Source organism: Homo sapiens, chromosome 3 (genome assembly GCF_000001405.40).
Source record: "Homo sapiens chromosome 3, GRCh38.p14 Primary Assembly".
In the NCBI taxonomy this organism is placed as follows: Eukaryota; Metazoa; Chordata; class Mammalia; order Primates; family Hominidae; genus Homo; species Homo sapiens.
In genome coordinates this window covers 37,975,619-37,987,575 of record NC_000003.12, presented here as the reverse complement: position 1 = coordinate 37,987,575, position 11,957 = coordinate 37,975,619, and the positions used below count along the sequence as shown (strand labels likewise).

General features: G+C 46.7%; 1 protein-coding gene across 5 annotated transcripts in view, besides 1 other annotated feature; it reads right to left on the bottom strand.

The window, feature by feature from the left end:
* Nucleotides 413-590: a silencer, noted in NCBI's record as "fragment chr3:38028477-38028654 (GRCh37/hg19 assembly coordinates)". NCBI's record gives its function as "represses an EF-1alpha promoter that drives an FKBP-Casp9 reporter gene in an ReSE screen in HepG2 liver carcinoma cells {active_cell/tissue: HepG2}" and the evidence as "EXISTENCE:reporter gene assay evidence [ECO:0000049][PMID:32094911]".
* The window catches only part of CTDSPL (CTD small phosphatase like), a 122,590-nt gene continuing 113,739 nt past the window's right edge, over nucleotides 3,107-11,957 (bottom strand). For 3 of the 5 annotated variants that reach the window (NM_001438028.1, NM_001438653.1, XM_017005520.2), the window contains 3 exons: nucleotides 11,682-11,867; nucleotides 6,713-6,834; nucleotides 3,107-5,751 (listed from right to left, as the gene is read on the bottom strand). In NM_001438028.1, the coding sequence (NP_001424957.1) occupies nucleotides 5,685-5,751; nucleotides 6,713-6,834; nucleotides 11,682-11,867 (375 nt within the window). In that variant the 3' untranslated portion in view covers nucleotides 3,107-5,684. Of the gene's footprint in view, nucleotides 6,835-11,681; nucleotides 11,868-11,957 lie in introns of all 5 variants that reach the window. The other 2 variants (NM_001008392.2, NM_005808.3) reach the window with 1 other exon arrangement.

The following is an 11,957-nucleotide window of genomic DNA, read 5'->3' as shown; positions in this document are numbered from 1 at the left end:
TGTAACCTGTGATCCCAGGCCCAGGATAGATGGCAGTCTGGCCTTAGAGCCTGGCCTGGGGCCAAGATGAGCAGCACTGCCTTGAGTCTGGCCTGGACAGCCTCCGGCTCATGGCTGTCACACCCCAGGCACACAGAGGGGAAACTGAGGCCCAGGGCAGGCTCACAGGCAGCTGGGTGCTGCAAGAATGGGAGGGTGGGATGCCTAGCCTTCCCCTCCCTCCTCCCCCTAGCAGGAAAGGGGTCCCACCACCCCATCCCCATCCCCACCTCCACCCCTCTTCAAGGGGGCCTGCCAGGAGTCAAAAGGGCCCTGGGCAGAGTTTGCCTTGCTAGCAAAGCCCTGCCCTCTTCCTGCCCCAGCCTCCCTTCATCTACCACCCCCTCACTCATCAAGTTTCCAGGGCTTGGGGCCTACTTTGTTCCTGCCTGGCTTATCTCCAAGGCCCAGCCCGCTCCATGTCAATATTGACCCAGGTGAAGGAGTGGCCCCAAGATAAGTCCAGGCTCCGCCCCAGTTTCTCTGGGCTCAGGCATCCTATCCCAGGCTTCATCCCCCAGGCCTTCTCCAGTCTTTCCCAGGCAGGTGCAGAATGTTGCCTCTCGTGGTGGAGTCCGGGCTCTGTGAGGAGCGTCCCTCTCTGAGGGCAGACAGGGATGGGGAGTGAGAACTGTTGACTCAGGTCCTGGAGCCCACTCCTGGAGATGCCCTGGCTCCTTGCGCTGGAGGGGAGCAGCCATGGGCCCGCATGTGTCCCCACATCTGGTGGTCCCGCCCTGGGCTGCAGGATGTGGAAGGAGCTGTGGCAATGGTCACTGGAGCTTGCATAGGCTGGAAGTGACTCCTCCCGAGGACACCACGGGAACAGCTGGGTGAGAGGACAGACCAAACACCAACCCTGGGCCCCTGCAAAGAGGTGTCACTGCCTTGCCCACTGTGGTCCTGCCCAGCAGCACGCCCACCCATTAGGACCCAGCTTGGGTCAGGAAAGCCCTGGCCTGTTGGAAGGGTGGTGGTGCAAGGCTGGGGTCCGTGCCTAGTGGGCAGTGTGATCCTTCCAATGTGTAGTGGGGGGCTCCACTCTGCTCCCCACCTGTGTGAAAGCAGGTGCTGTCAGCCAGGCAGGGGTCTCACCAGGCCTCCCTCCTCACCCCTGCCTTGGGAAAGGCTCCCAGTGCCCAGGTGGGCTTTTCTCTGTACTTTTCTGGATTTTCCAACTTTTTAGCAATGAACATGTATATGGCTGATCTTTCAGGTAAAGCAACACGTCATTTTCCCCAAAGCTCTGGCCACAGCTCCTTTGCCACACCTGGGCATCAGGCCTGGAACAGTTTCGGAGGACTTGCCTTTCCTCTGTAGCCAGTCAGAGCAGGGGGTCTCAGCCCTGGCTGCCCTTTCCAGTCATCTTGGCACTTAAAAACATGACGCAGGTCCCCATATGCAGAGATTGGAAATGGTCTGTGGTGGACTTGAGGGATGTATGTTTGAGACCCCTCAGGTAATTCTAGGGTACAGCTTCAGCCAGAGCTGAGAATCACTGCACCAGGAGAGGGAGCTGTAATGGAGGTTTGAGGTGGAAAGCTCTGGGGCCATGTCCTCCTCCCGATGGCCTCTGTTCTCAGAGGTCAGGCTGGTGGCCATGCCAGTTGATGGCTCTGGGCCTTGAACAGTCTGCTGACCCACAGCCAGCCCTGACACAGGAGATTTATCGTGCAAGCATCCAGGTTACTCCACAACTCGGCCACAAGCCCTCAATGCACTCCTTATCCATAAGCTCAACAGAATGTTCGTCAGCTGATGTGCCACTGTTCCCAGGCTGGCTTTTCCCAGCCACTCCTTCCCACCCTCCTGGGCTTCCTGCCCATTCCTTGGTCCTGTAATACACACAGATGATATGTGCTCAAACTAGAAAACACGGAAGGGCATATCTCAGCATGTCCAAGTCCCAAATAAGTGCCCTCTTGATGCCCCGTGTGTCCTTCCCACCTATTTCGGGGACCAGTGGACACTCATGAGGATACCTCAGCCTCAGGCACTGCCACAACTCTCAGCCTTTTATCTGTTTGCCTGTATGCAAAGGTGTGAAGCAGTGGGGTACAGGGTTGATGCCAGAGAAGGTGAGAGAGGGACAGAGAGGGCTGGGGAGCAGAATAAAGGACACAGCCTAGGAGTCTGGAACCAGGGGAGGAAGCTGCAGTGACTTCTCTCTGGCTGGCCAGCTGCTCCACTGTGATGACAAAGAACCTAGGGGCACGGCACAGGCTTAGCTGTGGGGTATTTGGGGTTTTGTCTCTGGGTAAATATTAGGTCTCCTGGGCTGATACACATACTGTGTCCTGAGTTATTTGGGATGAATATACATGCCTGGTAGAATCCTGTATCTTGTGATAGAGCAGACTGCAGAGCTTTGTCTCGCTGGCCTGTTTTCTCATCCACAAAATGGGGATAAGACTTACCTTATGAAATTGACACTGGTGCTATCCGAATCAGATATCATGAAGAGAAAGAGTCCTGAGAGTGGCGAAGCCATGTCCAAGTCCCTGCCAGGAGTCTCTAGCAGAGGAGTCGCTGCCTCTCTCACCTGCATGTACAGAGGGACTGGGTTCAGGGCACTGGCGACAGAATGTCTCACTGCGAGAAACTGCCTGGGACATCCTGACTCCTCTTCCGACTCCTTGCCGTGCTTCATCGGGCAATCATCTTGGCCACTGTGCCCATGGGTATGGGTATGGGTTTAGGCACCACATATAATGCCTGTGGTTCTTATGGAATGGGAGGCCCCAGTTCTCTCAGGCTGCATTTTCCAGCCTGCTGGGAGGGCTGGAATCTTTGTGGGAGAAGAGTGAGCCATACTGCTTCCGGAGGGAGGAAGCCAGGGGGCTGAACAGCAGTCACCCTTGGAGTGACAGGCAATTTGGGTGGGATGGACGAGCTAGAAAATCAGTCTGTGGCTCCTGGAGTGCTGCAGCCCCACTCCCATCCACCCCTGTTCCCCGGAAGTGGGGATACCAGGAGACCCAAGGTGATGGCATGAGGCTGCGCAGGAGGCGGGGAAGGGAGGGAGGAGAGGCGCTTCTGGTAGAAAAGTAGTCAATCCACAAAAGAGTGCAGTTTCACATGTTTATTTTTGGCAGGAAGGAAATCATTGCAAACCTTTTGATTGACAATACTCGCCCCTGGAAACGTGCACATTCCGCATGTAGCATTTCCTAAGTAATGCTGGATTGTTTATCACATTCAAATGTCCAGCAGAAATCCATGACTACCCAGACACCAGCATCTCCACTACCCGGGGTGGGGGAGGGTGTGTCAGTCTGCAGAGAAGCTCCTGGGAGAATGGAACAGGAACAGACATGATCAAAGTTACAGTACAGTAGGAACAGAGGCAGCCAGCCAATTTTGCACAGTTAACTGCAAGTACGTCAAGCCATTCACTCTTCTCGAACCCTGGCATGCCAACTGTCCAGCACAGCACCTTTAAAAGCAGAGGCACAAACGTAGGATTGTTTGACCATAGGGCTGTGTGGTTCTGGATTTTTTATTAGAAAGCCATCTTTAAAAATACAGGGTTGTAAAATGTTGCCAGGTTACAGACTTACAGGTTTTTTTTTTTAACACCAAAAGTTCAAATGCTGCAACCATGACAAGTCAGCATCATTAGGGCATCCTCGTGTCCCCAGAGACATCTCATCAAAATTGCACCACGTCAAAGGAGCTTCCTCACCATCAACTGTGGCAGGTGGCATTCCTTTTTCAGTATGCAAATGCATTATTTACAAACAGCTAATGCATGGAACCACAGACCAACACGTAGGATTCCAGAACAAATGGAAGACAGAGCATTAACAACATTGGGAGTGCCTGTGCACTTCCACTGGAGGCCTGGCCAGAGAAGTAATAACATCATAGTGGGCTGCAGTCCACAAACCCAAGGTGTCCTGTCCCAGAGCTCAATGTCAAAAATACTTCTCCAGAAGACTACATTTAAACCTGGTACAGAAAGGAGCATGGAAACTCAGGAGGTCAGGGTTCTCTTTTGGCTAAAGAGTTGGGGGTATTTTGGTAACATGGGAAGTATATGGCACAGAGAAGTGGCTAACAGGTTTCATTAGGTTTCAAAGCCCACAATTTAATACATGGTAATAATTAAAAACAATACCCGTATTTACCTTAAAAAACATAAACCCCAAACATTCGTCTCATTTCTTGGCCTTATGTTAGAATTCTATTGCTTCATTTACATGTAGATGATTAAAAATATATAGATATAGATATAGATATAGATATAGATATTTTGATTATGTACATAAAGCAGATTCAAGGGTTAAAATAAAAACAGAATTTTGGAGTGTGGTCAAATAAGGTGCACAGATTCCAGAACCCTCAGAGGGCCTGCTGGCCCTCTCCAGACATTCTGTGTCCGTGGTGCAGGAGCTGGGCCCGTCCCTAACAGCTCCGCACTGGCTTAGTGCAGTGGTGCTCACAGTTTCAGGAACTACTAGGTGAAGTGTCTGGCTCAAGTCTGCCAAGTGTCTTCACTCCATCGTCAGAAGTGGAGCACTATCCCTAGGTTCGATTCCCATGAAATATTTTATGATTTCCATCCTCTTTGCCCGCTCTTCCAAATAAGGCCCTGTGATGCCAACGAAGGGGGCATGGTTGAGGGTCTAAGGCTCTCATTAGGGCCTAATTCTGTGTGGATATCAACACATGACAGACACTTGACTGCAACATTCAAGACATTTAAGGCAGTGGGTTCATTTAATGACTACTTTTCCAAATAAATATTTGTGGCATGGGCAGTTCTACCATGTAACTGTCATTATCTGTGGTAATATCTAGCAAGGGGCTGTTCTATTTGAATTGGCATGTGGATTACTGGTTTGGAACACTCAGAATGCTGGGAGACCTGTTTACCCCCTGAATACTTACTTCCCTTCTGAATATTCACACAGCAGTCCACAGACCAAAGTGCTGTTGGGAGGATGTAATTGGCAGCTGGCTTCATTACTTTGTGAATGAAAGCAAAACAAAGATATTTTACTTTGACCCCCGATTTCCAGTCTTGTTAATGCCAGTCACTCCCACCAGAATGCTGGCTGAAGACCAACCCACAGAGGACTAAGGCAATGGTGCCAATATGAAAGGGTTCTTTTTAATTGTTTTTAAGAGCAATACTTTACAGACTGTCTTGTTGTCAAACAAGGAACATGGCACTGCTTAAACACCAAACTGGGAAAGGCTGCAAAGAGAGCCTGGGCTCTCCCTGTGGGAGCTCTTCCTCTCCCTGGTTTGGGGCAATGAGTCCCACATCTAGACAGGCTTCCCCAACCCTTGGCTCAGAAATAGGCTGTGCTTCAAAGGAGAAGACCAAGAGATGGACTTGGGCCACATCAGCTTGGTGGCTGGTTGAGGCCACAGGTTCTCAAGAGAGAACAGTCAGCTTATTTATCAAACAGGATCTGATACTGACTGCAGTTTAAAATCCATGCTACACCTAAGTGGTGCTGTGGTCCTTTTGCCTTTGTACCCTTCAGTGGCCAATGCCAGGAAGGGGTTACAGGTGGTGGAGGCTGCAATGGGATGGGACACCTCTGTTTCTGACCCTGTCCGAGTTTGTAGCTTAGCAGTGAGCATATTCTGAGCATAGGCACAGTGGCAAAGAACAGTGTAACAGCCGCTGGTCAATTCCATTTGGTGGCAGCGCGGTAGCAGCAAGGAAAATTCCCAAACAGCTCCATGTGTATCCAGCTTTTGGAAAGGAAAGATTTAAAAATCAATAAACAGATTTCTTTTATATCCAAGGGTTTTAGGGTTTCTTGTAACTGCTCTACCCAAACAATAACAACAAAAAACACAAATGTATGGCAGTAGTGTGAGAGCAGAAGTGACAGGATGTCACTTTTCAAGGAGAAAATGTGACCTCAAGACAAACTTGTCACCATCAGAAATAATAATATAAAATAATCTATTGTTTCCTAAAGTGTTGAGCCACACAATTGCAGATACATTCCAAACTGGGTCAAAAATGAGTGGAGACAATGACATAGTCATGAAATCCTCCTATCAGGAGCCTGACCCTGCAGCATGCCACAGGTTGTCAGAGCAGTCACACCTGTTGGGGGACAGGCTCCTGTGACTCACTCCCCTCCCTCAGCACCCCCCGCCACACACACACACGCTACCAGGTTCTAGAAAATTGTCATGTTCATCTTCTTATAGTATCTAAGACAATAAAAGACTAAAAGATGTCTGGAAATATGTTGTGTAGAAAAATTAACTCTCGGCTTAAAATAACATTCAAAAGGCACTTCATCCTGTAGGAAAGAGATTCTGAGTTGGGTCAGCTGCTCTGAGCTGGGATAGAAGGGGACAGGTGGTCTGCTTGGAGGGGAGGACAGTTGAAAGGAAGTCTGATAGAGATCAAGCTTTTTTTTTTTTTTTTTCTATTTTTTTCTTTTTTGGTATGTTTTAAGAAAAGCAAACCCAGTAAAATGCATGTCCCTTTATGAAATTTCTTAAAAGAGTTCTTTTAAAATAGTTGTTTCTGTTCTTAAAAAAACAAAACAGGTAGGCATGGCCACATTCACCCTGTGGCCTGGAGCACGGAGTATCCTCACTTTCAGCTCCCAGGGAGCTGAGGACAGGCAGGTCCCCTGAGGCCAGAGGTTCCAGAGTGCACAGGCGGGAGGCAGGCAGAGGCCAGGGCTACCTATTGCAGAGTCTGTGCAGCATGCTGTACACGTCGTCCTCCCGGCTCAGGCCCTCAAAGAAGGGGATGAGGTCCAGCAGCTCCGTGTCCGTCATGTCATCGAACCAGGACTGCACAGGCACCTGGAAGACAGTGCATGGAGGAGGCAGCAGGACTGCATCTAGCGCTGGGGGCTGCTCCTAACCTAACCGGGTACCCGGACTTTGAGCACTTTCTTTAGTAAGGACGACTGGTGTCATCATCGTTATCATCATGATTTTGTTTGTTCCCTTGTTCAAATTGAGGCCAATCCAAAGCTAAATGGCTTGGGAGATGGCTCAGGGAGGCAAAGTTAAATGTACCCAGTTTGTGTGCATTTGCCTGTTTTGTTTTCCTGCCACAGAAAAAGGTGGCCAGAGCATAGAATGTATGAGAACTAGCCTTGCTACTTGCCAACTTCCAAAAGCTCTTTCTACTGCACAAGATCGGTTCCTTGCACCTCAGAACACTTGGAGCCAGAGCTTACAAGCCAACCACTGACAGCGCGGAGCTCACATCCAGGACACAGGAAGGCTTCCACTTAGGGTCACTGTGCAATATTACATCACAAAGAGAAGTGGTAAATTTCCTCCCTTGCTTAACAGTGATCAGTTAAAAGTAAAAGTCTAAAATTGCAGAACATTCTGAAGCTATGGGCAAAGACAGGATTTTCCCTTAGTTTTAGGCAGAGGAGTGGGGAGGGGTGGTAGCCAGGGGTACAAAGGAGAGATTTATAAACAAATTTGAATAAACCAAACATGTTTAAAAGTAACATTTTAGCCCTTTTACAAATCTAAAGATAGCTTAGAAACATAGACATTTATTACGTAACTTTGAAAAATAAAGTAAGGACTAATAAAGAAATGACTACGCCTAGGGGATGGGGAGAGAGTGGAGGAGAGGGCAGAAATGGACACACTTCTCTGTCTTTATTTATAGTTTTGATGTCGGAACCATGTAAATGTGTTATATAATTAAAATACAATTAAACCATTAAGAAAAAAAGCAATAAAAGTGAATCTAAGTGTATATAAAATTGGTGACACAACCACACAATTACTTCAAGTGATTTGTGTGTGTGTGTGTGACACAGCGTCACACTCTGTCACCCAGGCTTGAGTGCAGTGGCAATCATAGCTCTGTAGCCTTGACCTCCTGGGCTCAAGTGATCCTTCCACCTCAGCCTCCCAAGTAGCTGGGACTATAGGCATGTGGCACCACGCTTGGCTAATTTTTTTTCTTTTCTTTTTTTGAGATGGAGTTTTGCTCTTGTTGCCCAGGCTGGAGTGCAATGGTGTGATCTTAGCTCACTGCAACCTCCAACTCCTGGGTTCTCCTGCCTCAGCCTCCTGAGTAGCTGGGATTACAGGCACCTGCCGCCATGCCCAGCTAGTTTTTGTATTTTAGTAGAGACAGGGTTTCACCATGTTGGTCAGGCTGGTCTTGAAATCCTGACCTCAGGTGATCCACCCACCTCGGCCTCCCAAAGTGCTAGGATTACAGGCATGAGCCACCACCCCAGCCTTTTTTTTTTCTTTTTTTTTTAGTAGCGACAGGATCTTGCTTTGTTGTCCAGGCTGGTTTCAAACTCCTAAGCTCAAGTAATCCTCCCTCCTCAGCCTCCCAAAGTGCTGGGATTGCAAGCAGCCAGGTAAGCCACCAAGCCTGGCATTCAAGTGATTTTAAAACATGGTGTTATAACTGTACATCTCTCTAAAAATTCCTAAACTGCATAGAGTTGTCTTATTATTAGCCATAATTTAGTACCGCTACTGAAATTATTAAACATACACTACAGATCAATTATATAATTATGTTAATATCTTTAGAAATCAAGAGTTGCAGCATAAGAGAAAGGGATACAAAAACAAAACAAGCAAAGAAGTTACATAAAAACGTAACGTTGTATTGGAAAAACCAGTATGAACTTATGATTTAGTTTTCTTTCTAAAAATATGTCATTTTTAGCTCTGCCCTGTAGTATGGGCTAGAAGTAAAGTATATCCCATTAGCAATGAAAATCCACCTAAACTGTGGTCTCTAAATACCACTTCCACTAATAGGGACCAGGCACCATACAAAAATGGCTGGTTCCAGGGCTGAGGCAAGAAATGTTCATCATGAGCCTGGAACATCTTGTTGTTTAAGAAAGTAAGGAAGCTACAGGTTGAGCATCCCTAATCTGAAAAATCTGAGTCCCGAAATGCCTCAAAATCCAAAATTTTTTGAGCAATGGCACCACAAGTGGAAAATTCTACACTTGACCTCGTGTGCCAGGTGGTAGTGAAAACACAGGCACATGATACACAGTTTATTTAGTGTCCCCAAATTATAAAAAATATTGTATAAAATTACCTTTAGGCTATGTGTATAAGCTGTACATAAAACAGAAATGAATTTCATGTTTAGACTTGGTTCCATCCCCAAGATATCCAATTATGTATATGCAAATATTCCAAAATCCTAAAAAATCCAAAATCCAAGACACTTCTGGTACCAAGCATTTTAGATAAAGAATATTCAACCTATATCAAAGACTTGTTATTAGTGTCCATAGCCAAAGGTGAAAATTAGAGCATGCAAAAGAATAATAAATGGACTGAAACTACAACAAATCCATGAGTTCATAATGATACTAAAAAAAAATTATTGGCTACTTTTGGAGGCCGCTAGAACACCAACTCATTAGTCTGAAAATAGAAATTGCCATTTTGCAATTCCTCATGAAATAGTGGGTGTAGACAATGATCACCAACAACTGCTAAAATTATGAGGTGAAAGGTTCATGGGAGAATTTTATAATAGATGGATCAGGCTAACACCACCTGAACCCAATGATGAATTTTAAATCTTTAAAAGTGGGCTAACCTGACATTTTATGCCTCCTTGATATGATATCTTCATAAGCGTATAATACCCATGATGTATTATTTTTTTCTTCTTTTTTTTGGGATAGGGTCTTGCTCTGTCACTCAGGCTGAAGTGCAGTGGCATGAACATGGCTCACTGCAGCCTCGACCTCCTGGGCTCAAGAGATCCTCCCACCTCAGCCTCCCAAGTAGCTGGAACGACAGTGGAACCACAGGTGTCTGCCACCCCGTCTGGCTAATTTTTTTTTTTTTAAGAGATGGGGTCTTGCCATGTTGCCCAGGCTGGTCTCAAACTCTTGGGCTCAAGTGATCACCTGCCTGGGCCTCCCAAAGTGCTGGGATTATAGGTGTGAGCCATTGCATCTGGCCTCTATGATATATTCTTGCAAAAAAAAAAAAAATCGAATCTAATCAAGCAGTAGAGCTCTAATTACTTGTTTAGAGGATATAAGGTGGCTATAAGAACATATTAAACATCATCACAAGACAGCAGCTGGACAAATCCAGAATGTAGGAGATTTCTACAAGACAAAACACCAGGGCTTCTTCAACAAATAAATGGCATAAAAGAGAAAAGGGGAGGAAAGGGAGACGTGTTAAGATTGCAAAAGAATGAAGAGACATAGTAACCAAAGCAATGCATGGATCTTTTTGGATCCCGATTGAAATACTCCAAATGCACAACACTTCGAGATGATAGGGACAATATGAACACAGTCTGGATATTAGACAATGTAAGAAACTGTTACTTTGTCAGATCTGACCGTGACTTGTGATTATATTAAAAAGCAATCCTTATCTGTTAGAGACACGTTACCAAATATATTATGTTGAATTTGATTTACTCAGTAAAATGAACACATTTACATAGAAATACATTTGGAGTATTTATTCAAATAATGATTCCACACTAGCCAAATTAATTGAGTTTGAATTTTTTTTGGTTATAAGCGAGACTGCAGAGTTCTGGATTCAAGGAAAGGACTTTGCAGGCTTTTGTAGAATCTGAGAAGCCTGTGCTTGAGAGGAAGCATCCTCTCCAGGGAAAAATGCCTGGTCTAGGGGCCTGATGTGGCAGAGACTGAGGGGTCAGCAGTCACCAGAGGCCCTGGTTGGCCTCTTTTCCCCTGGAAGTGTCAGGCAGCAGGCAGGAAGGCAGTCCTTCTTGCCCTGAGAGTTGTGCTGCACCCAGTGAGTAGGCACCGAGAGCTGCCATGGTCCAGGGAGCTTTATGAATGAAATGTTCCCAATGGGTGCTTTTTAGACATCATGATGAGGTAGCAAAGCTTGGCAGTCTTATTTGAAGACCTTATTGAAGTGTTTTATTCATTTTTTTTTTTTTTTTGAGACGGAGTCTCCATCTGTCGCCAGGCTGGAGTGAAGTGGTGGGATCTCAGCTCACTGCAACCTCCGCCTCCCGGGTTCAAGTGATTGCCCTGCCTCAGCCTCCCGAGTAGCTGAGACTACAGGTGCGTGCCACCAACGCCTGGCTAATTTTTTGTATTTAGTAGAGACAGGGTTTTACCATGTTGGCCAGGATGGTCTCGATCTCCTGACCTTGTGATCTGCCTCGGCCTCCCAAAGGGTTGGGATTACAGGTGTGAGCCACCACACCTGGCCTATTCATTCTTAAGAAATACTTCTGTTAAAGAGATCAACCAGGCCTCCTTAGTCTACAGGGGTCATGAAGTCCTACGCAGTAGCTGGCTCCAGGAGGTTACTGCCAGCAGAACCCTTGTCAATAACAATACTAAAAATGTCAATAAGACGATACAGGCTTATAGAGCATTTACCAGTCTCAAGCACTATTCTAAGTGCTTTTTATATATTGCCACACTGCAACCTCCAATGATCCTATGAGATCAGCATTCCTATAATTCCCATTTGACAGATGAGGCAACCGAGGCTCAGTGAGGTTAAATAACTTGGTCAATGACACGCAACTGCTAAATGGCAGAGCTGGGATTTCATTAGGAAAAGGCCCAGAGACCTTCTTGTGTAGGTGCTCAAAAGTGGTACCTGCCTGGCAAGACAGAGGGCTCAGATGGAGCACGACATTTTCTTTCTTTGGGGCCACTTACTGCATTCTCAGGATGGAAGATGTATGAGGCAGGGGAATTGTCAACAATGATCACTTTGCTCAGCTCCCGCCCAAGGCGACTCAGGTCCTTCACGTAGTTCCCACGATGAAAAACACATGATTCTCTGAAGAGCCGGGCCCGGAACACACCCCAGCGGTCTAGGAGGTCAGCCACAGGGTCTGCATACTGGAAAAGACGTGTCACAATGAAGGCTGGGTGTTTAAAAGAGCCCCCCAAACCCTGAACTACAGCAGCAAGATCCAGATTACGTTTTTT